This window comes from Homo sapiens, chromosome 5 (assembly GCF_000001405.40).
Source record: "Homo sapiens chromosome 5, GRCh38.p14 Primary Assembly".
Taxonomy (NCBI): Eukaryota; Metazoa; Chordata; class Mammalia; order Primates; family Hominidae; genus Homo; species Homo sapiens.
This window is the reverse complement of record NC_000005.10, coordinates 149,253,986-149,273,598: the sequence shown is the minus strand read 5'-3', so window position 1 is coordinate 149,273,598 and position 19,613 is coordinate 149,253,986. Positions and strand designations below refer to the sequence as shown.

Below are 19,613 nucleotides of genomic sequence, written 5' to 3'. Positions count from 1 at the left end.
CTCAGTTGCTAAAGAACCAAACAGAAGCCCACTCTCTTTCCTGCCTGCCCTTCCCAGTCCCTGAAGGAGAAGGTGAATGCAGTATTCTCTGTTGGGGAGGGGCAAGTGAGGAGGTTGAACTGGAAGCCAGGAGTCCCCTCTGGCCCTCTGAGCTCGCCAAGCCTGACTTTCCGTTTAACAGGAGTAAGGGAGGTTACCCCACACCTGCTCCCGGCTCATCCCTGCCCCAGTGCCTGCTAATTGCTCCCATGCCCCTGTTCCCTTCTTTTTTTCCTCCCTTCGGGGGCTCAGCACAGCAAACAGGCAGATGGGGGAGAGGTGTGAGATTATCGTGGGGAGGGGAATGAATTTTCCATTATTAATAACAGCAACAACAACAACACTTCGCCTGTTGGCACAGCACTCACTAGTTTATCTAGTGCCGTCACACCTGTGATCTCTTTGGATCCCAGAGGTGCAGACTGAAACCCTGGGGTTCTGATTCCCAGCCTCTGACACTGTTCACATGTCCAAGCAGGCCACTTCTTTACAGACACACACATGCCCATCTGGCCATTGCCAAAGGCCATGTCTAGACCTTTACTTAAAATGTGCGCTGCCGGGCGCGGTGGCTCACGCCCGTAATCCCAGCACTTTGAGAGGCCGGGGCCGGCTGATCACCTGAGGTCAGGAGCTCCAGACCAGCCTGGCCAATATGGTGAAACCCCGTCTCTGTTAAAAATACAAAAATTAGCCGGGTGTGGTGGCGCATGCCTCTAATCCCAGCTATTCGGGAGGCTGAGGTAGGAGAATCGCTTGAACCCGGGAGGCGGAGGTTGCAGTGAGCCAAGATCGCGCCACTTCACTCCAGCCTGGGCAACAAGAGCGAAACTCCGTCTCAAACAAAACAAAACAAACAGAAAAAAATGTGCGCTAGCCCCCTACGAATGCTGCCCTCTCGGCTTATGTCAATCTCAATTTCAGTAAGTCCCCTCCACTTCTGTGAAACGTCTACCAAATACACTGGAAAAGGGTCGGCAAGGTGCCTTGGAGACCATCTAGTCCAACTTTGTCGCTGGTCCAGAGAGAAGGGCTGGGCCGAGGACACAGCTGGTGCGGGATAGAACCACCCCCGCCTCCTCCCTCCCTGGCGCACACATGCATGCACACGCGCGCCTGCTCACGGCGCTCCTCCTTCTCGCAATGCCCTAGGCAGCTGCAAACTTCGGTCCCCTAGAGCTTCTCCCTAGGGGCTGCCCACAGCGGGTGTTTCGGGAGTTGAACCTGTACACCTTGTTTTCCCCTTTAGAGTGGAATGAGGTGGGAGGAGCTCGCTGTCCTCCGGAAACTAGAGGGGGATCTTTTATGAAGTTACAAATCGTTAGCCTATGAAAACTCTGATTTCACACACGAGAGGCGAGTTGGCCCCAGGACACGGGCGTTGACACGCACCGGGTTGTCCCGGCAGCCGAAGGCACCTTTGCATAAGCGCCGCGTCTCCCAGTCCCCTCCGAGCGTTCCTCAGCCCCCGCCCCACCGCCCGCCTCTCTCCCTCCTCCTCTCCGGCTTCAGATCGTCCAGTCTCCCTTTCCCGCCCGGCGCCGCAACAAGTGCGGGCGTCGCGGCCCCTCTTACCCTGGCCTCGGTCCATGGCGCCGGCCCGGTCCCCGGGGAGCGGGCCGCAGGGCGCAGGGGCTCCGGCGCGGCTGGTAGCGGCCGGCGCGCTGCGCTCTCAGGCCAGCCCAGCGGCCGGCGCTCTCTGCGGTCCCCTCCCCCAGACAGGATGCTCGCCGGCAGCCCCCGCCCCGCCCGCGCCCGCGCCCGCCCCTCAGAGCCGCTCCCGGAATAGACCCGAGCACGCCTCGCCCCCTGGGCCGCAGCCCGCTGTCCCGTGGTGCCGCACACGCCCCGCCGCGCCCTGCCGCTCGCTCGCCCTCCGCGGCGCTCCCACTTGGGCTTGGAGGACCCTTTTCCCCGTCCGCACGCGTTCGTTCCCGCGCCCGCGCGGCCTGCCCCAGCCCGGACCCAGGAGGTGTGCGGCTTTGCTTGCACTCCGCTAGCGATGGGGTCTTACCACCGCACCCCTCAGCCGGCTCCATGCCGGAATGCGGAGACTGTTGGAGCGCGTTTTTATCCTAGGGAATCAAAACCCCCTTCCCTGCAGCCGCCACCCATTTCCTGGCTTTGGGCTTGTCTTCTCCATTCGCCGCGGGTCTTTCTTGAGCACCTTCTAAGCCAGACAGTGGGCCCGCGGCGATGCCGGTGCAATGTCAGTGGTGTTGCGAAAGAGGAGTTAAATAATAACAAAGATCTTCAGAAAGAAAAGCACCTGGGAAAGGGAGAAAGAGAGGCTTGCTGAAAGGTGGGCAAGGGCTTGGGACACTTTCAACTTTTGAGGTTCCTTGTGTACTAAAACGTGAAAACATAACGAGGATCTGGGAGAATTCAGAAAAAGAATAGAAAAATGAGTAACACGTGAAAACATGCAGAACAGGGTGATAAAAAATGTGGAAATGAATACTTTTAGCATACAAAATACAGTGCAATATAAGTGTACTTTTCGCAAGATTGTAGAAAATATTGCTATGACCAGTGTGGAACAGTAATGGGATCTAAGTTTAAAGCTGTATGAAGAATGTCAACTTCTTCACCTTATTAGTATATCCCTGTGAAAATAGGTCTCACTCATTTATACACAATATCAAATGTCTGACTTTAAGACCCTTCATAAAGTCCAGGACCAATTGTTCTCCTAGACACTGCTCCTCCCACCATGGGCCAGGCCATGGTTTTCAGCTTTGAGCTGACCACTGTTCCCTACTTAGAACATTCTGGAACAGGGAACAGCTACCACAGAGGTATGGAGGCAACAAAAGGCCTGGGAAAGACCCTCCTGTACTTTCCTGGACTGGGAATATTTTCTTTTCTTCTTTTTTTTTTTTCTTGAAAAGTCTCCCTTTGTCGCCGAGGCTGGAGTGCAGTGGCGCGATCTCGGCTCACTGCAACCTCTGCCTCCCGGGTTCAAGCAATTCTCCTGCCTCAGCCTCCTGAGTAGCTGGAATTACAGGCGCCCACCATCACTCCGGGCAAATTTTTGTATTTTTAGTAGAGACGACGTTTCGCCATGTTGGCCAGGCTGGTCTCGAACTCCTGACCTCAGGTGATCCACCTGCCTCGGCCTCCCAAAGTGCTGGGATTACAGGCGCCAGCCACCTAGCCTGGCCGGGAATATTTTCTCTATTGCTTTTATGGGCAAATTAAAATTAACATTTTCTTAAAATATTGCATCAGTAATTTAGTGTGTGTGTGTGTGAGCACTCAGACCAAATGTGATGTTGTGAACAGTGTATGAAAACTTGTGCATGGCTCTTGTTCTGTTAGTTTGGTGCAAAAGTAATAGTGGTTTTTGCCACTGAAAGTAATGGCAAAAAACGCTATTACTTTTGCTCCAATCTAAATACTACATAGTATAATAACTTTTCGTCAATGAGGTTTTCTTGCTCATCTGTGCTATGGGAAGCCTCATACTGTAAGTCCTCACAGGACTGTTGGTAGGGCAAATGAAATAATACAAACCCACTTTATAAACCACAAACAGCTATAAAATATGAGCCATTATTATTTTCTGAGTTCCTTTTTGTTGCTGTCCCCTTTTCCAATTTGAAAAGGTCAGTTTCAATTCTAAAGCAGCCAACCAACAATTTACCAGTGGATTAAGTTTTAAAAGTTTATTGTTTGAACTCTGAACACTTGGAAACAAGGCCATAAATTGTATTTTATTTTATTTTTTAATTATTATTATTATTATTTTTTGTATTTTAGTAGAGACGGGGTTTTACCATGTTGGCCAGGATGGCCTCGATCTCCTGACCTCGTGATCCACCCGCCTCAGCCTCCCAAAGTGCTGGGATTACAGGCGTGAGCCACCGCGCCCGGCCTCCCATAAATTGTATTTTAAGTTCTCAGGCTAGCTCACTAATTCTTCTAAAAACATAATATTTCATTTGAAATAATTTAGAAAAACAGTATGAAATGTTACTATTGCAAAAACAGACGGAGGCTTTTGTAAATATTTTTATTTTTATAATGTTTAAAAAAATATTTAAGATAGAGACAAGGTTTCACTATGTTGCCCAAGCTGGTCTCGAACTTCTGAGATCAAATGCTCCTCCGGCCTCGGCCTCCCAAAGTGCTAGGATGACAGGCATGAGCCTGTAGAGATGTTTAGAGAACTTTCAGAAACTTTCAAGGACTTTGGAGATATATTCAGAGAATTGGAACGAAAAAGTAAAAAAGGCTAAGGAAAATGGAATAATTTATGGAGTGGAATTAACTGAGCTGTGGTCTGGGAAGGATATAGAAATGGGAGAACACAGTCTGTGCACAGTTCTGAGAATCAACAAAAAATTGTTGCTGGCAAGGTATAGGGGTTCTGGTTTAAATAATTACCCATAATGTCCACTAGGTGGCAATGTTGACTAGTTGTCTACAGCTTGGTTGCTGTCAGAGTAACTGAGATGGATGAAAAAGTTATTTGCGGGTTTGGACAAGGAATAACTTTTTTTTTTTTCTGTATGTTTCCTTTAGTGAGTTCTATATTCCTCATAAAAACTAACAATCCACACTGCCCATAAATTCGCTTAGGCAATATTGATTGCACTCTGTGCAAGTTTCTATTGAGAGAAGAAATGCTAAGTAGGAATGATTCTCACCCTCAGGGAATCTACAATCTAGTAGAGGAGACAGACATGTATAAAATAATATAATATAAATTATTGTATGAAAAGTACCAGAGGAGAAATAAAGTGGTCTTGGAGTCCATCAGACAAAGTAAGACTTTTTTACTAATCATGGAGGCTGTAATGGATGACAGATATTTGGAAGGCAGGCAACTGAGAATGTGTAATGAGGAGATAACATTATGGGCAAAGAGCAGTGAGAGCAAAGACATTGAGCTCAAAGGCAGCAGGACGTGTCTGTGAAGCAGTTCAGGTTGGCTGGATCGTGGGTTATTGGGGGATAAGCATCAGGGCAAGGATAGGAATGAAGGTTGTGATACCTGCTTTTCTCTTCCCCTTTCCATTTCATTTTGAGTGCAACTCTCTGGCAAGGATTTTTAGAATCTGCCTCATATCTTCCTTTTCACTACCTACTTTGCTGACTTCCAAGTTTTCCAGGTTTGCCTGGATTTTGTCTAAAGAATGCTATGTGGGGAGCTCCAGCTCTGTAAGAAGGTATCAAATTTAGCCTTAGTGAACAATACCAGGAAGAAAGCTTTCAACTCCCTCCTGCTCCCTGTCTTGTGAAAACAAATGATACTCCCTAGTCTCATTCTTCGCTTATCAGGTGGAACTGGGAAACCCTGGGAAAGAAAAATTTGGAGGCTCAGGACTATTTGTTCCAGGGAGAGAAATATACTCTAGCCTCCTAACCTGTCACCTTACCTCTAGGGACTGTTTCCACCATGGCCAACAGAGCGACCATTCCATGATCCCAATCAGACCGTGCAACTACCCCCTTAAAAATATGTGATGGCTCCCCGGGCCCTCAGCGGAGAGTCCAGATTTCTTATTATGGTGTTTGGGGTGCCTTCTTCACTGAGCCTGCAGTGATCTCAGGAGACTTCAGGAAGAGTAAGAAAAACAACAGATGGGTGCTCAGATCTGGGTTCCTAAGTCAACTTCATTGCCGTGTGAATCTCAGTTCTTCCACTGGGTCAATAGTACATAATTTCTTATGTGCTTCTTTACCTATGCTTCCCTGTCCCCCACCAGACTGCAAATGCTGTGAGAGCGGGCGCTGTCTTACTCATTGCTAGATCCTTAGAATCTAGCACAGTGCCCAAACACCTAGTAAATGGTAATAGTATTTGTGGAATGAGTCAGTGAAAACATACTCAAGGGTGTGTAAGGCCTGCCAGTTTTGGCTTCTATTAATGCATGTGTCCTGGGGGTCCCATTTGTCCTCTGGGATTGTCGTATTTGCTTATTTATTTGCAGGGGGAAATGAACTTGTGACCAGGCCTTCTGGAGACATGCTGCTGTGCTGCCCAGCCCCTGTGTGCTGCTGTGGATGTGTGGCTTCTCCTTGGCTCAGGGCCCCTCTCCCATGCTCCTTTGTGTGGGGTGATCCCCAGAGCCCTCTGATCGGGTGTCTGCCTGATGCTGGCTGCAATGAAAACCTCTCTTGTTCCACTTAGCACAATGTTGCCATTATAGCCCCTATCCAGGGAAATGACACACGTCTGCTGGCCCACCCTGGGCCCCGGAAAGCAGATAGAGATCTCAGTGGCTGTTTCTGGGAGAAAGAGAAAGAGTTTCATGGATGGATGAAAACTCCTTCTTCCCATGCGCCTTCAGGTTTCTGCTCCAGGGCACGGGGCTCCTACTTGCATGGAGGCAACAGGGCTCAGCTTCCACAGTTGTTAAAACCAAGCCCAGTGGTTGTGTCTGAAGGAAAAGGAGCTTTTGTTTTATGCTGAAATGCTGCATGAAGCTTACTCCATCCCTTTGGATTCTTCTCCTTAAGCGAGATCTTAGGCTCCTGAAGCGAGGCTCGTGCCCTGAAGCACCTACAGGGCCGGGCAGGGAAGGGTGTGCAGGAAGCAGGCCATGCAAGTGGAGGGGCCACAGCAAAGCGGAGCCCTCTTGCTCCGTCTGAGGGGCCAGTCACCAGTCAGCTTGGAAATGGAGTGGCCAATCTTCAGCTTTTTCAGCAGAACCCAGAAATCTAGATTTCAGTGAGAAATCTCTTTTGATTTAAAAGTGTTGGTAATGAATTCCAATTGTTTTAAACATTGCAGTAGCCAACTAAAACACCCCTGTGAACTTAATCTGGACTATAGCCACCCCCAGGCCCCAATGTGGAAACTTGAGGGAAATTAGGGACCCATGAAGACATCTGGAGGGTCTGTCCAGCTGGGGGCCTCCACGCTGAGGCCTGAGGAGGGTGTGCAGCTCCTAACACTGCAGCGTGGACTAACTCTCTTCTGAAGATCTGGGCTGCACGCCCCTAGCTTCATCTGTGGCTGCAGGCTGGTGCCAGGTTGCAGAGGTCCAAAGTGGATTTTATAACCTGGAGCTAGAAAAGCTTTAAAGCCCCCCAAAACCTGAGACATTAGCCCATCTGGTCCCTTCATTTGTCAGTTGGGGAAACTGAGGCTGAGAGAAGGGGAGAAATCTTACCTGAAATCACAGAAGGCCTTAGAGCCAGAACCAGGAGCAGTGATGCCCTGATATGAGGTCACCTGAGCCACTCTGTTCAGTGTGTGGGACACAGTGGTGAAGAGCATGACTTTAGGACAAGGTGGATCTGAGTGTTACCCAGCCCCGCCCCTGCACAGTCCAGGCACGATCTTCAACCGCTCTGAACCTCAGATTCCTCATCTAAAAATTGGGGCTACAAACATCTTCCCCACACAGCAGTTGTGATGCTTCAGTGTAACTGTGCATGTAGAGTGTGGAGTGGCTGATGCCATGCCAGCACATGGTACGTTTTCTTCAAATGCCAGCTGGCAGTATATTCAGGGAGGAGATTTTGTATGATATAGCCGAGTGCACGGGCTTTGGGTGAGGCATCTCTAAGATCAAGTGCAGGCTCTGCCACATACAGCTGTGAAACACTGGATGAGTTATTTATCAAGGGCCCAATTTCCTCATCTGTAAAATAAGGATGAAAGTAGTACCAGGGGGTTAAATGAGATCTGTAAGGTGCTTAGCACAGTGTCTGAGCCATGGTCAGAAGTGTTGGTTATTATGTAATCAGTGTGGGTTTCCTCTGAAGAATTCGTCAGATGTTTATGGAAAAATATTAAGGGATGCTGAAACCGTGGCCACATACCCAGGCTGCCCCCTGCAGGGAGTTTTATATAAATCCAACCCCTGGAAATGCAACTGATTCTGCCAGGTTCCTCCTTCCCTGAAGGAGCTCCCAGTGCTCCCGGATGGGAGGACTACCAGGCCTCCAAATGCTGCTACCCACGGAGTCTGCAAAGGAGTGGTGTTTTGTATGCACATTTAAAAACGTTACATAGTCCCATTATTTTGTTACAATGACAGATTGCTAGGGCCAGATGGACAATTTGTCCTGATCCAGGTGGGCAAGACCCTGTGCCTTAGGGAGGCAGTCACGCTTCTTTTGTATGACAAGGAATTCTGTATCCATAAGGAGGTTTTGGAAAACCAGAAGGCTCTAGGTCTGGGCCCTACAAACACTTTTCAGTGACAGACTGAGGCAAGCTTTTACCCTTCCTATGTGTTCCCTAGTGATTCATGTCACACTGCGCGCTTTGATCGGAGCACATGCCTGCACTGTTTAAATTGTGGTCATTCTCCCTCACACAGACAGCAAAGGAACACATTCGGGATTCCGCTGCCAATATTCATTCACTCTGGGAGCCAGGGTATCTGTCACAACTTCTTTGGTTGCAAGTGATAGAATCACAACTCCAACCAGCTTTAATGAAAAAGCTCAAAGGGTAGCTGAGTAGCTGAAGGGGCGAAGCTGGTTTGAAGCCAAGCTTGGATCCAGGAAGGCAAACTGAGCAGTCGCTCTTTTCTCTCCATCTCCCGGCTCTGCCCTCCTCTGTTTAGTCTTCATCTTCAGGCCGTCTGTTCCAATCTGTGGCAGAGAAGGCCACACAGCTGCAAAGCCTGAATTCCTTACACCTGGAGATTCCAGGTGAGAAAGGCAGCCTCTCTCCCTGCAGTTCCAGCAGTGGCCCAGAGAGGCCCCCATACTCTAGGTAAACCACAGGCTCTAAGCCCAAGGGAGGTGTTGAGCAGTGAAACGCACGCCTCCCCTGCAGCCAGGCGCGCACCTGCAGCACACCACTTTATCAACTAAATGCCGCGACCTCTATTTTGCATATGTCATTTCATTCGTTTGCTAGGGCTGCCACAACAGAATTTCTGCCAGCAGAGCTGGTTTCCTCTGAGGCCTGTCTCCATGGCTTGTGGATGGCTACCCCTTTGCTGTCTCTTCACGTGGCCGTCCCTCCCTGCATGGGCTCCCTGGCTGTCACCACGTGTCCAAATCTTCTTATGAAGACACCAGTCAGATTGGATCAGGCCCTACCCTAACAGCCTCATCTTAACTTAGTCACCTCTTTAAAAGCCCTATGTCTAAGTAGAGTCACATTCAGAGGTACTAGGGGGTTAGGGATTCCAAATATGAAATGGGAGGGTGAGGACACCGTTCAACTAGCAAATGGCAAGGCTGAGACTGCCCTGAGGGAGGATGCGTCTAACCATGTGCCCTTACCCATGACGCTGTACTGTCCCTGCTGGAGCTCATGGCAGCATACCTGGAGGCAAAGGATTTACAACCCTCAGCAGCGGGGAATATGAGAGGCTGTATCCACTGAAAACCTTAGTGAGGTCCAGGGACCCCCTGTCTATATGATGCCCCAGCAGGATACCACTGGTATATGAGAGTCTTGGCTGTCAGGCGAGCTGTGGTTCAGCAAGCCCTGTTTGTTGTCAAAGAATTTTGGGTTATCTTCTCTCTGCAGCGTTTTCAGATGGTTTCTCTTGGGCTCCCCGAAGACCAGCTATCATGAAGATGTACAGGGAATACAAATACCTTCTCTCCTCCCTTTTCCATCAGGTAGAACAGCATTTCCAAAAGTGTGGAATTCAGACAATTGGTGAAAATGTGATATATGTTTAGATATTACACAGACCAACATATTTGGAGAGTTATGAATTTATATGAATTTGTAATAAAAACATATAACCAGGATGGGTGTGGTGGCTTATGCCTGTAATCCCAGCACTTTGGGAGGATGAGGTGGGAGGATCATTTGAGGCCAGGAGTTCGAGACCAGTTTGGGCAACATAGTGAGACCCCCCCTCATCTCTACAAAAAATTAAAAATAAAAATTAGCTGAACATGGTGGCACATGCCTGTAGTCCCATCTATTCGGGAGGCTAAGGCAGGAAAATTGCTTGAATCTAGGAGTTTGAGGTTACAGTGAACTATGATCACACCACAGGACTCCAGTCTGGGCAACACAGCAAGACCCTGTCTCTTAAAAAACAAAACTAAACAAAACAAGCTAAACCAACCAAACAAGCAAAAAACCCCATATAAACAGTCCTACAAACCTGTGCTTTTCACTGGCATTAAAATAGAAACATCAGATACATGTCAATTGAAAGAAAAATATCAAGTAAATAGTATTAAGAAAATAAATAATTTGATGAAATCATGAAGGTGATGCTTGAATGACTGAAATCCGGGAAGCACCGGGATAGTTCCCCCGAGAGGGAAATACTTCTGGCTATGGACACAGAAGTCATGCCAATTTTAAGCCTCATTTATCTGCACATTTAGCTCTAATTTTCCCTGAGGATGACCATAGATGGTGACTTCCGGCCTTTGGTTTCTCTCGTCTCTGTCTCTGGGCCAATCATATTGGACCAGGCCAAGTACAGAGGTGAAAGGCTTGTGAGTGTTGGGGAGAGGCTGACCCTCATCTGCACAGCCCCTGGACTCTATTCATTTGGAGTCTTGCTGCAGGGCTCCTGAGTGGCTTGGCGCTGCCCATAGCTGAGTATGTAGGTAGGTGTTTATCACTGTGCAGTCAAGATTTTTAGCAACTCAAAGTCCAGTGTGGAATAATGCGTTTAAAACTTAATTCCACACGGAACTGGCAAAATTCTGTGAAGGTTAATTGCTATTAATTTTAGTAGTGCTTTTGCCCCCTTGAATTTTGCTAACAGTGCTGAATAACAGCCTTCTAGTCCACGTTTGGCTCTGTGGCCAGCTGCAGCTGCTGACATCTTCCACAGCTGGTGCCCATGTCTATGAACTGGGTGCCTGGTGAGGTTGAGGGGCTGCAGGCACAGGAGAGCTGGCTTGTTCTGATCTGCTCAAACGCTCAGTCAGCCTGTATCGTGGCTGCGAATTACAACTATTGTATTATTGGCATTACCTTCTGTGGCCTCCAAAGTCACATTCTGCTTTATTGATGTAAGGTTGATCTCCAGTGTCCAAACGGGTTGCATGTGTGGGGAAAGGCCCCCTTCTAGAATTTCAGACAGTCTGACTCAAAATGTTATGTCTATTCATGAAAGGAAGATGGGTGAGAGCAACGCTTCTTACACTTCACCATGTGTATGAATCACCTGGGGATCTTATGAAAATACAGATGCTGATTGGGCAGGTTGGGGTGGGGCCTGAGGTTCTGCATTTCACAGAAGTTCCTGGGTGATGCCAATGTTCCTGGTTAGGAACATTTTGAGTGGCAACGCTTGGAACAATTCTTCCTACACCCAGCATGTTGACAACCACAGCACAAGCCAAACACCCTCTACAAAGCCTGGATGGATGAGAGGAGTCCTTTTAGACTCTGTGCATGGCTGGCCCCTGCCTGCCCTCCCACCGCTTCTAATCTCACTCTCCCCTGCATATGCCCCACTCCAGCCTCATTGGTGCTTTTTGTTCCTCCAATAAGCCAAGCTCTTGCTCAATCCAGGGCCTTTGCATCCACTGTTCTCTGTGCCAAGAATGCTGGCAACCCCACTTTTCCCCAGGTACTTAGTTTTCATCCTTTGATTAGCATACGAAGTGAGTTTCTTTCTCATGGTACCTATTTGTTGTCTCTGTAGCAGTTATCTTCATGTGCCAGCTCTTTTTCTGTTGCCTTATTTATGATTCGTTTCTCCTCTAGACCAGAGTCCATGAGGAAAGCCCATTCCTGCCTTCCACACTGTTGTATCCTCAGTGCTCCTGCCTGGCAGGAGATGCTCACTCATGAATATTTGTTGGGTGCATGTGTAGGCAGGGAGCAAAAATGCATTCTTATCTTTTTGCACATTTGAGCCACCTGTCTGGAGGGGCCATGTTGGGGCTGAAAGTTAGCATTGGTTCTTATTGAAGAATCGCAGAATGAGAGCTCAGAAGAGGAGCTACTTTTAATTCTAAGCCACATCTCATCGTCAGAGATGTCGAAACGTGAAAAAAGTGTGCATCTTTGAATAGATAAAATACAGTAAGCCAGCATGTCTTAAACAGAGGTTATGTTAAATTCATTTATAAAATATTGGATTAAACAAAGGTACTATGGTGGGACTTCTCAGGACTTTCGGCAATGTGTGTTGTGAGTCTACGAGAGAAGGGACGTGATGTGCTCTTTAACGGCACAGCAGTTGTGGCAGAGGCGCTGTGATTTCGTCACCCAGAGGCCATCCTTTTCTGCCCTGCTTCCTTCTTCTTTGTTAGTAGAGGGCCTGGTTCCCCCTGTTGAGGCTGAAAATGCCAAATGCCCAGTTTCCCAGCCTTTACTGCAGCAGGATCATGGACATATCCCTAGTTCTGGCCGGTGGGATCCAAGCAGAAGTCTACTGAGGACTTTGGAAAAGTTTTTCTGACTACAATAGACATGCAATAGACTGTCTTGTTTTTTGATGTGATTGTGTGAGGACATGGTGCCTGGAGCCACAGAAGCCTCTTGTAAACATAGAGGACACATGGCTGAGGACAAGAGCCAACATGCTGAGGATGGTGGGGTACAGAGATACAAACAACCTGGGCTCTGGACTCCATCCCTGAGCTGCTGAATGTACTAACTCTGCACCTTGGATTTCTGGTCATGCAAGACAACACATGTTCTCACTGTTGAAGCCACTTGTAATAAGATGCTCTCTTTACCTGCAGCTGGAAGGATCTTGCCTAATAAGAGTGGTAAGCTGGTCTCTCTGAGTCAGACAGGCTAGAATTCACTCCTGGCTCTACCAGCAGTAATTATGGTTCTCTTCAAAGCTATTTACTCATTTAGGAGATGGAGATGTTAATAACGGCTACCTCTTGGGTTGTTTCAGAAGCTTAAATGAGATGATGGGTGTGAAGTGCTCACATAGAACTTGGAACATTGCTGGTGCTTAGTAATAAGGAACTATTATTATTATTATTATTATTATTATTATTATTATTTTTGATCACAGAAGTTCTTTGTTGTTGGAACATCCTTTACCATCTTGAGGGATCCTGCATTCTACAGAAAAGAATCTAAGTGATGTTTACCTTTACCAAACTTTCTCATTTTACAGAAGGAGAAACTGAGGCCAAAGGAGTGGCTGCTGTTTTGGTGCTTTCATTTTGAAAAATGTGCAGGGTTCAGCCTCTTCCCATGTCAGTCATTTCCACTCCCACACAAGAAACAACAGAAGCACACAGGTTTAGGGTTGAAATGATGTGCTTTTATGGGAAACAAAAATATCCAACAACAATAACAAAAGCCCTTCAATCTCGCCAAGTTCTTAACCAGTGACAATAAGGCAACTTCCATGATTGCGTCTGGCTGGGGATGATTCTAAAGGGTCAGGAAAGTGAAAAGACATTGGCCAAAAAGAGAAGTTGCAGGGAGGGCTGACATCCTACATGAGAACACAGCAGACTTCCCTCTGGCCCCTCACCCCATCACCCCTTCAATTTAGAATCTCCCCCCAATCTACAAAGATCCTTCCTGAATTTCCTCAGATGCAATCTCTTCCAGAAAGCTTTCCTGGGTCTGCTCTAGCTGCATATGACTTTTCATTAACATCACGCACACTTTCTCATTCCTTCTCCGATCACTTTCTGCCTTACATCCGTTATGTTTGGGTACATGCCTTACGATACCCGCTATTGGTAGGCATATCCCTGAGACCGAGTCCCAGGTTGACTCACCCCGTGCTCCCCTCCCCCTCCCCCATTCAGTGCTCAGTATTCAGCAGGTGCTCAACATCAGAGGTGCTCAGTGAGGGTTTGTTCAATTTAAGTCAGTTCTACATTTGCCATGTCACATCGCCAGCCTCTTGAGAGTCATTATTGTCATTTTCACTTCTTCATCCTTCCTCCATGATCTCAAAATGGTCCGACTCAAGGCTTCTCCAAGAAGGAACAGCCCCCACCAAACATTACCCATTCAAGGTGAAAGGTTTGGAGAGGAGAAGAGAGGTTAAGCTTTCTCCCCTGTTCAGGGAGGCGAGCAGGAAGGGAAGCCACTGGGAAAATCCAGGATGGCCATGAGCGGTGTTGGCCAACACTTCATTTTGGAATCTCATAAGCAGCCACTCTTCCAAAAGTTTCCCTGTGAAACATGGCCAACTTTGCAGCAGGAGCCGAGGACTGGCGGGGGTATGGTATGGTTGCCCTGCCAGCCCACAGACCAGAGGCATAGACCAAGAACCTTTCTTTGAGACACGGCCTATTTTCTCTCTGGAGGATGATGAGAGTTGTCTGTCTGGTTGTTCAGTTGGAGCTCTGGTGGGAACATTAGCCCTGCGGTGTGTTGAGTTGTCAGGCACATAGATTGTAATAAGGCTAAAGAATACAAGCTGCAATCATGGGCTTCTCCTTGAAAGAGGGAAGGGTCAGGAGGTGCTGGGAGCAGTGAGGGAGAGAGGAGGGTCCCAAGAAATCCTGCAGCTCTGATTCTAACAGGTGCCCTGCTCCATCTCCCACTTCCGCTCCCTCTCTTTTCCTCTGGTTCTCCAAGTCCAGGTCAGGCAAAGGGGCCAGTTGGAAGTGGTGGAGGGAAGGGAAGGGCCTTTTCCTTTTCCTACCAGGAATCCTAGATTTGGACAAGGGAGAGGTTACAATCCAGGGCAGAAGGAGGAGGGTTAAGGAGCTGAGGAGAGGCCTAGGCCCTGTCCACTTCTGTTGACTGGTGTAATGACTAGATTTGAGGCTCACCCTTTTAACTGCATTGCCCCAAGAGAGCACTGAGCTCCTAATTGGGGGTGTTGAGAAAGTTCTTCGTGGGCGCTCAAAGGTGCTCACTGATTTGGGGAGACTGCTGCAGATCTTCCCATGGGAGGGCCCCTCTGGGGCCAATAAGGTGTGGAAACCACATGGTCAGCATCAGCCCTAGAAATTTAAGAAAGGGGCCACGAAGCAGAGAGAAGAGAGACTTCTTCAGGCACCTTCTTTAGGAAAGAGAGTTGGACCTTGGGGCACTCAAGTTAGGACAGATGTTTCAGTATAAAAAGGATCCCCAATAAAAGGACAGAGTCCCCTCAAATCCCTTCCCAGATCCCACAGCACTTAGAAAAGAGAAAGTAAGGAGCATAAAAATATCTCGATGACGTGGGCTTGCCTGACAGTACAGAAAAGCAAGTCTCATGGCAGGCAGTGTGTCCCATTACACAAGAGAGGATTATACCGAGCTTCAGTAGAGAGATTTTACATATATCTTTATATAAATGCATATATATTTATAGAGCCTCTGCCTAGAACAGCCGGGCTTGCTTCTTCAGTTCATTCCTCTTCCAGAGGGCCAGCCGGTCAAACTCAGAGATGGTCATGCCAAAGACTTGGTAGAACTCTTCCTGGGACAGGTGGCGCTGAAGGAGGCAGGGCAGGCGGGGGTGGGGGGACAGAGAAAGAGAGCAGCATGAGGATGCAAGATGCAGGGGTAGCTGGAGGCAGCAGTGGGTGCTGCATGTTCCCTCTGGGCACCCTGTGCCTTGCATGGTGCCTGAGCCTGGGGAATGTGTGATGAATATTTGTTGAATGAGTGAATATGGAATGAACATTTTCCCAGGGAGGACTCTGGAGCTGATTTGGCTGAAGAGGCCTCCCCTGCCTATGACTCAAGTGGGACTTCCGCTTCCACTACACACCCCTTGGAGTCCCCTGTTGACCCCTCCGCTTTCTGCATGCCTGATCCATGTATTTGCATCCAGAAGTGTGTGTGGATTCATGTTATCCCACTCCCCGTTGAGAGAAAAAGGAGCCATGTCCAAGATTTTAGGGGATATTTCCTCTTACTGATGTTTTAACAAATGATCTGGAAGGCTGTTCATCAGGCCAGTCAATGAAAAAAATTTCTGCTCTTAATTTTTGATTCACCAAAATGTCCTTTTATCTTTTTCTGATATGAAAACAAATATGCTTTATAATCAAACCCTTGTCTGCATTCTATAGTGGATTTTCCCCTCTTTCTGCCCTCCTTCCCTTCCTCCCTTCTAAGCAGCTTTAAAAGTGTGATACATTGTCAAAAGCTTTTAGAGTTAGAAATATACAGCACTTAAAATGTGGCAAAATGTTAACAATTGTTGTATTTAGTGAATGGTAGATGGATGTTCATTTTACTATTCTTGAAACTTTCCTGGATAGCTACAGTTTTTCAAAATGAAATTTAAAATTAAGTTTACAAAGAGAAATATATGGCATATATACTGCTTACAAACTTAATGGATTCACTTGAGCTGGCTTGTTGGTAGCAATTACATGAGCTAATTGGGTGCTGAAGGAGATTCAGTGAAAATTATTTATGTGACCACAGTCAGTTCTCTGGCTTGTTGTCACTGTGAACTATTTTTTTTTTTTTTTGAGACAGAGTTTTGCTTTGTCACCCAGGCTGCAGTGCATGATCTCAACTCACTGCAAACTCCACCACCCCAGTTCAAGTGATTCTCCTGCCTCAGCCTTCCAAGTAGCTGGGACTACAGGTGCACACAATCACGTTGGGCTAATTTTTTTGTATTTTAGTAGAGATGGGGTTTCACCATGTTCCCTAGGCTGGTCTTGAACTCCTGAGCTCAGGCAATCTGCCCTCCTCAGCCTCTCAAAGTGCTGGGATTACAGGCGTAAGCCACGGCGCATGGCCATGTGAACTAACATTTTCCCCATACCTTCAGAATTTCAAACAAAGGTAATATTGATAATTTTTGGTCAATAATTTTTGAAGTAGTAGAGCTGGGACCGAAGTCCAGGCAAAATGCATTACATTCTCACTGCCCCTCTTGGTCAACCCCATTAAAAAAATTCATAAGTAAGTCTATTATGAAAAATGTCAAAACTACACAAAAGAGAGAAAATAGGACAAAGCCCATGTCCACTATCCAGATCCTGTAATTGTGAGGTTTTCCACATTTGCTTCATTTACCTATTTTATTTTCTGAAATATTTTAAAGCAAAGCCTAGACATTGTGTCAGTTCATTCCTATGCACTTCAGAATGTTTCTCAAAACACACTGAATATTTTCTCACATTGTGGTTACACAATGCCATGAGTAAACTCAAGAAAATCTAACAGGAATTCTTCAGAATTCCCTGATACCTGTCCATTACAAAGTTCCTGTCTTGAAAATGTCTTTTCACAGTTGGTTTATCTGAACTAGGACCCAGGCAGTGCCTACACATCACATTTGCTTGTTAGATCCCTAAGACCCTGCCTCTTTCTTTGTACTATTGACTTGTCCATGTTTGTGCTACTCAAGTGAGTGCTGAAAGACACCTTGGATAGGAGAGTCCCCTTCTCTGCTCCTTCCATAGTAAAGACAGAGGGAAACTGCACTTTGGAATCGTTTGTTATTGTTGTTGGAGGGTGGTGGTCTGTATTGGTTCTCCAGTTGAGTTTCTCTATCATGTTAAAAAATCTTTGTTATGAGTCTTGATATAAAAGAATGGTAGACTCACCCTCAAGTAATGTGTTCACAAGCAGGACACACTGGAAGGAGACCAGGGCTTCTCTCCTCTAAGGGCCAGCTGGGGCCTCCTTTCTCCCTCCAGTTCTCAAGGCCCCTAATGCCACTACTGTCCATCTGACATTTGCCACAGAAAGGCGTTAAAGCAGGAAGGTTAACAGTGCAGCTCTTACAGCCAGGGAGAAATGGCCATGTGACCATGGACAAGTTACCTAACCCCTCCTGAACTTCAATTTCCTTTTCTGGAAAATGGGAGCATCCTAGTGTCTCCACCATGAATACCATGAGGGTGAATGAGCAGATACAGGTCATGTGCTCAACACTCAAGGGCACACAGAAAGCACTCAGTCTGGTCACTTTCACTATCATGGTGATCTTTTCATGCACCTGTTACATTGTGTGATCTGCTTCCAGTTTCCTTGGACTTCATCTTCTCCTCCTCATCTTTGTTGTGCTCCTGTGACCCTAGACACACTAACCTTCTGCTATGTTCAAACACAACAAGCTCCCTCCTGCATCAGGGTCTCAACACTGGCTGTTCCCTCTGCCCAGAAAGTTCTTCCTTCTTATAAAAGCATGCCCCACTCCCTCAACTACTTCGAGTCTTTGCTTACATGTCATGCATCCAATGAGACCAAATCTGATGATGCTATTTAAAACTGCAACTCACCTCTTCCTCTCCTAATCCCCTTCTCTTCTCTCCTTTAACTTTTTTCCTTAGCACTTATTACCTTCTAACACATGGTGTCATTTATTTTTTCTTTGTGTCAACAATATTGACACAAATAAAGGAGACACATCTTATGTCTTCTCACACAAAAATGTAAGTTCCAAGAGGGCAGCGGTCTCTGTTTTGTTCATTGATATATTGCAAGCACCTCGAACCGTACCCAGATGCTTCTGCAGACATAGGAGGAGAGCTAGATTTGCTCCCTGCCCTCAAGGGGCCCACAGTCTCAGGACTGTACATAAAACGAGTGCTTGTGATGGTGGAAGAGAGTGGAGGCAGCACTGTGTAGTTAAGCTCCCTCGGTTCAAACTCTGATTCTGTCATCACTAGGTGATCAGCTTTAGCCAAATGACAGCCTTGCTGAACCTTTATTTTCTCCTCTGTAAGGTGAGGATGATTCAATAAATATTTGTTGGATGAATGAATATCTATTCTCTGAGCTCCTTGAGGACAGGGTCATAGTCTTCCTTCTTCAGTCCCCTCCTAGAACTAGTGCAGGAGGCTGGGGCAGTGTCTTTAGCCCATGGGCCTCAGCTCAGGCTACATTTTAGCCATCCTTGGGTGCTTTTAAAAAGTTCTAGACCTGAGCTCCTTCCCCAAATTGTGATTAAATTGGTCTACTGTGGGGCCCCTGTATGGTATTTTTAAAAAGGTCCCTGGGTGATTCTGATGTCCTGGAGAATGTTTCCATCCCTAAAAACTGGCTTCACTGAGCTGCCCTGGGAGCTGTCCCCTTCAGCACTGGTGGACACTTTCATTTGGAGACAGTGAAAGGAGGAGGCCCTTGTTGAAATGTGAGGAGAATCACCCACTTCCTGGGGTGCTAACCCAGCATGCTAGAGCTGGAAGAACTCACAGAGCTTCCTGGCTAACGTACATTCCCCTCCTTCTGCCCCAACCGTCTACCCTGGGCCAATTCCACGCCATCAAGTCAAGGGCAGCTCATATGCTTTTCCTGAGGGGTGCTGAGCCTCCTATTTCAGAAGCCTGCACTCAATCCCACAAACGTTTTCTGACACCTCTCCCAGCCCAGACCCTGTGGTAGAGGGCAGACAATGTTTGTCCCTAAGAAACTCAGGGTCAGGCAGAGGAAATGGACACATCCATGATCTGATACACAGGAGAGTGAAAGGTGCTTGATGTACTTTGGATAGAAAGCTGGAGGAGGTCAGAGGACAAGGGGAGTGACCCCTCCTATAGGAGGGTTGGAGGAGGCTTTGGGGCACAGGGATTACTAGTGCGGAGCCCTGAGGAGCAAGGAGGCTGGTGAGATGCGAAGGGCATTGATATGTCTTGGCTGTGTCCCCACCCAAATCTCACCCTGAATTGTAATAATCCCCACGTGTCAAGGATGGGGCCAGGTGGAGATAATTGAATCTTGGGGGCAGTTTCCCATATACTGTTCTCCTGGTAGTGAATAAGTCTCATGAGATCTGATGGTTTTATAAAGGGCGTTCCCCTGTACAAGCTCTCTTGCCTGCTGCCAT

General features: G+C 47.4%; 2 protein-coding genes across 17 annotated transcripts in view, besides 3 other annotated features; both read right to left on the bottom strand.

The window, feature by feature from the left end:
• AFAP1L1 (actin filament associated protein 1 like 1) overlaps positions 1-1,740 on the bottom strand; it is a 71,779-nt gene extending 70,039 nt beyond the window's left edge. For all 5 annotated transcript variants that reach the window (XM_047416723.1, NM_152406.4, NM_001146337.3 and 2 more), the window contains exon 1: positions 1,615-1,740. Coding sequence is in view for 4 of the 5 variants with exons in the window: in NM_152406.4 (NP_689619.1) it covers positions 1,615-1,630 (16 nt within the window). In the remaining variant the exon portion in view is untranslated. The remainder of the gene's footprint in view (positions 1-1,614) is intronic.
• Positions 140-679: an enhancer, noted in NCBI's record as "H3K4me1 hESC enhancer chr5:148652483-148653022 (GRCh37/hg19 assembly coordinates)". NCBI's record gives its function as "activates a minimal SCP1, AML or CMV promoter by ChIP-STARR-seq in primed H9 embryonic stem cells {active_cell/tissue: H9 hESC(primed)}" and the evidence as "EXISTENCE:reporter gene assay evidence [ECO:0000049][PMID:30033119]".
• Positions 680-1,221: an enhancer, noted in NCBI's record as "H3K4me1 hESC enhancer chr5:148651941-148652482 (GRCh37/hg19 assembly coordinates)". NCBI's record gives its function as "activates a minimal SCP1, AML or CMV promoter by ChIP-STARR-seq in primed H9 embryonic stem cells {active_cell/tissue: H9 hESC(primed)}" and the evidence as "EXISTENCE:reporter gene assay evidence [ECO:0000049][PMID:30033119]".
• Positions 1,222-1,761: an enhancer, noted in NCBI's record as "H3K27ac-H3K4me1 hESC enhancer chr5:148651401-148651940 (GRCh37/hg19 assembly coordinates)". NCBI's record gives its function as "activates a minimal SCP1, AML or CMV promoter by ChIP-STARR-seq in primed H9 embryonic stem cells {active_cell/tissue: H9 hESC(primed)}" and the evidence as "EXISTENCE:reporter gene assay evidence [ECO:0000049][PMID:30033119]".
• Positions 13,057-19,613, bottom strand: part of ABLIM3 (actin binding LIM protein family member 3) — a 119,050-nt gene continuing 112,493 nt past the window's right edge. For 7 of the 12 annotated variants that reach the window (NM_014945.5, NM_001301018.3, NM_001345858.2 and 4 more), the window contains one exon: positions 13,057-15,308. In NM_014945.5, coding sequence (NP_055760.1) covers positions 15,195-15,308 — 114 coding nt within the window. In that variant the 3' untranslated portion in view covers positions 13,057-15,194. The remainder of the gene's footprint in view (positions 15,309-19,613) is intronic. The other 5 variants (NM_001301015.3, NM_001370417.1, NM_001345861.2 and 2 more) reach the window with 2 other exon arrangements.